Here is a 2,985-nt window from a genome sequence, read left to right as displayed (position 1 = left end):
CTGTCTGGAGGAAAAGTGTTTCAGGCAGAAGGAATAGCAAGTACGAAGCCCCTGAGGCAGAAACAAGCAGGGCAAATTGGAGGAGCAGCCAGAAAACAAAGAAAATAAAATATTAAAAAAGGATACATACATACAGGTAATAAAACTGTAAGGAAAGTGAAAAGATAAACACCTGCTGGGGAGAAGGAGGGAGAGAAGCAGGGCCAGTGTCTAATGCGCTGGCAATGCTTTGTTTTTGTAGGTGGTGGTTACACAATAGATACACAATATCTATTTTCCAAGCTGTATGTATATCCTAGATACTTTTCTGTATGTTATATTTCACAATAAAGACGATTTAAATCATGTGTTAGTCTTTACTGTTTGCTCAACTGTGGGTGCTATTACAGGGCATAGACACAAGAGGGGGCGCTAACCAATGAGCAGCGGCAAAGCAGTGTTTCCTAGCAACGGGGAAAACGTTGAAGCAGAAACTTCCTTCAGAGTGGTTAACTGATGGATTCTGGCTGCTGCCCCTGACAGGTCGGCCAGAGTCCACTTCGCACCCTGGAGGCGTCTCTGCAGGGTCTGGAGTGTCACTGACTTTTGTGGGGAGTAGAGCTCTTCTCCCAAATGCGAAATCGGGTCTGCAGAACACGAGAGGTTGCTCCCTTGTGCCGCGGAGCTTTCTTCTCCTGCCAATGTTAGATAATAACGACGTCCTCATTAACAGATGCCATTATTAATATCATTAGTAACAGAGGGCTCTTATCCGTAAGACTCCAAACAAGTCGTAGTGTTTCCCTCGAAAAACGGAGGAAATTAAAGAATGGAAAGGAGGGACCTTGCCTCCAGCCTTCTAAGACCTCAGGTCTTCTAAGACCTCAGGTCTCTCTCTCTCTCTGTCTGTCTCTCTCTCTGTCTCTGTCTCTCTCTGTCTCTCTCTCTCTCCTCTCTCCTCTCTCCTTCTCCTCTGTCTCTCACTCCTCTCTCTCCTCTCTCTCTCCTCTGTCTCTCACTCCTCTCTCTCTGTCTCATACGCACACAAAGAGAGAGAGGTTTTTCAAGATTTGGGATGCGGTGGAAGTTTTCAAGATTGCTGGCCGGTCATGGTGGCTCACATCTGTAATCCCAGTATTTTGGGAGGCCGAGGGCAGATCACCTGAGGTCAGGAATTCAAGACCAGCCGGGCCAACATGGCAAAACCCCGTCTCTACTAAAAATACAAAAATTAGCTGGGCGTGGTGGTGCGCGCCTATAATCCCAGCTACTCTCAGAAGGCTGAGGCAGGAGAATCACTTGAACCCGGGAGGTGGAGGTTGAAGTGAGCCAAGATCATGCCGCTGAACTCCAGCATGGGTGACAAAGTGAGACCCCGTTTCAAAAGGGGAAAAAAAAAAGATTATTGACAAAGCAGAAGGTTTTATGATACACAGGTAAATATTAGGTAAATTTGAGGCTGAGTGGGATTATGGTAATGAATACCTACACTGTTAAAAGAAGTTACCCCAGACTTTATCTCACTTGACTTTACAATCACTTTGGTACCACTCCATTTTGGAGATGAAGAAACTGAGGCTTAGAGAGGTTAAACTGTGAGCATGCCAGAGCTTTCCTCCCAATCCAATTTACTAAAGAAGAAGTATTAACTAGCTTTTTTTTTTTTTTTTTTTTGAGGCGGAGTCTCGCTCTGTCGCTCAGGCTGGAGTGCAGTGGCGCTATCTCGGCTCACTGCAAGCTCCACCTCCCGGGTTCACGCCATTCTCCTGCCTCAGCCTCCCGAGTAGCTGGGACTACAGGTGCCCGCCACCGCGTCCGGCTAATTTTTTGCATTTTTAGTAGAGACAGGGTTTCACCGTGTTACCCAGGATGGTCTCGATCTCCTGACCTCGTGATCCACCCGCCTCGGCCTCCCAAAGTGCTGGGATTACAGGCGTGAGCCACCGCGCCCGGCCTTAACTAGCTTATTTTTAAGGGGTGGGGGAAGCTGTTAATTGTCTCTCATGCCTGTAATCCAGGACTTTGGGAGGCTGAGGCAGGCAGATCATGAGATCAGGAGTTCAAGACCAGCCTGGGGCCGGGCGCGGTGGCTCATGCCTGTAATCCCAGCATTTTGGGAGGCCGAGGCGGGTGGATCACGAGGTCAGGAGATCAAGACCATCCTGGCGAATACGGTGAAACCCCGTCTCTACTAAAAATACAAAAAATTAGCCGGGCAAGGTGGCGCACGCCTGTAGTCCCAGCTACTCGGGAGGCTGAGGCAGGAGAATGGCGTGAACCCGGGAGGCGGAGCTTGCAGTGAGCAGAGATCGTGCCATTGCACTCCAGCCTGGGCCACAGAGCAAGACTCCGTCTCAAAAAAAAAAAAAAAAAAAAAAAAAAAAAAAAGACCAGCCTGGCCAACATAGTGAAACCCCATCTCTACTAAAAATACAAAAATTAGCCGGGCGTGGTGGCTGGCACCTGTAGTCCCAGCTACTTGGGGGGCTGAGGGAACCCGGGAGGTGTAGGTTGCAGTGAGCTGAGATCGTGCCACTGCACTTCAGCCTGGGCGACACAGCGAGACTCTGTCTCAAAAAAAAAAAAAAATTGTCTCTCATAACCAAAGAAAGTTAAAACAATGGAGAGGTAGTTTATTTTCTCATTAAAATAGCAAAACTATTTTCAATCATAATACCTCACACTAGGAAGGCCTAGTGGAAACTGGCAGTCTTGTACGACGCTAACGGCAGCATAAACCAGTAGCCACTCATCGGGAGAGCAGTCTGGCAACACCCAGCAGAAGCCATAAAAATGTTCCTACCCTTTGATCCAGCAACCCAGGTTCTGGGAATCTATCCTAAGGACATAATTTGAAATTTAGGAAAAGGTGTATGTGCAAATATTGGTGGCAGCATTATTTATGTTGGTGAAAAATTGGAAACAACTAAGGGAAATGGGTGATCAAGGGCACAACTCTATTAAGTAACCTGAATGTCTCCTTTTTAAAAAAATGATGACTGCAAA

General features: G+C 47.4%; 1 annotated feature.

Annotated features, from left to right (window-relative positions):
- Positions 568-617: an enhancer, noted in NCBI's record as "active region_19450". NCBI's record gives its function as "activates an Ori minimal core promoter by ATAC-STARR-seq in GM12878 lymphoblastoid cells {active_cell/tissue: GM12878}" and the evidence as "EXISTENCE:reporter gene assay evidence [ECO:0000049][PMID:35858748]".

This window comes from Homo sapiens, chromosome 3 (genome assembly GCF_000001405.40).
Source record: "Homo sapiens chromosome 3, GRCh38.p14 Primary Assembly".
Classification (NCBI taxonomy): domain Eukaryota; kingdom Metazoa; phylum Chordata; class Mammalia; order Primates; family Hominidae; genus Homo; species Homo sapiens.
The sequence above is the reverse complement of the archived record's forward strand: the minus strand, read 5'-3'. Positions and strand labels throughout refer to the sequence as shown.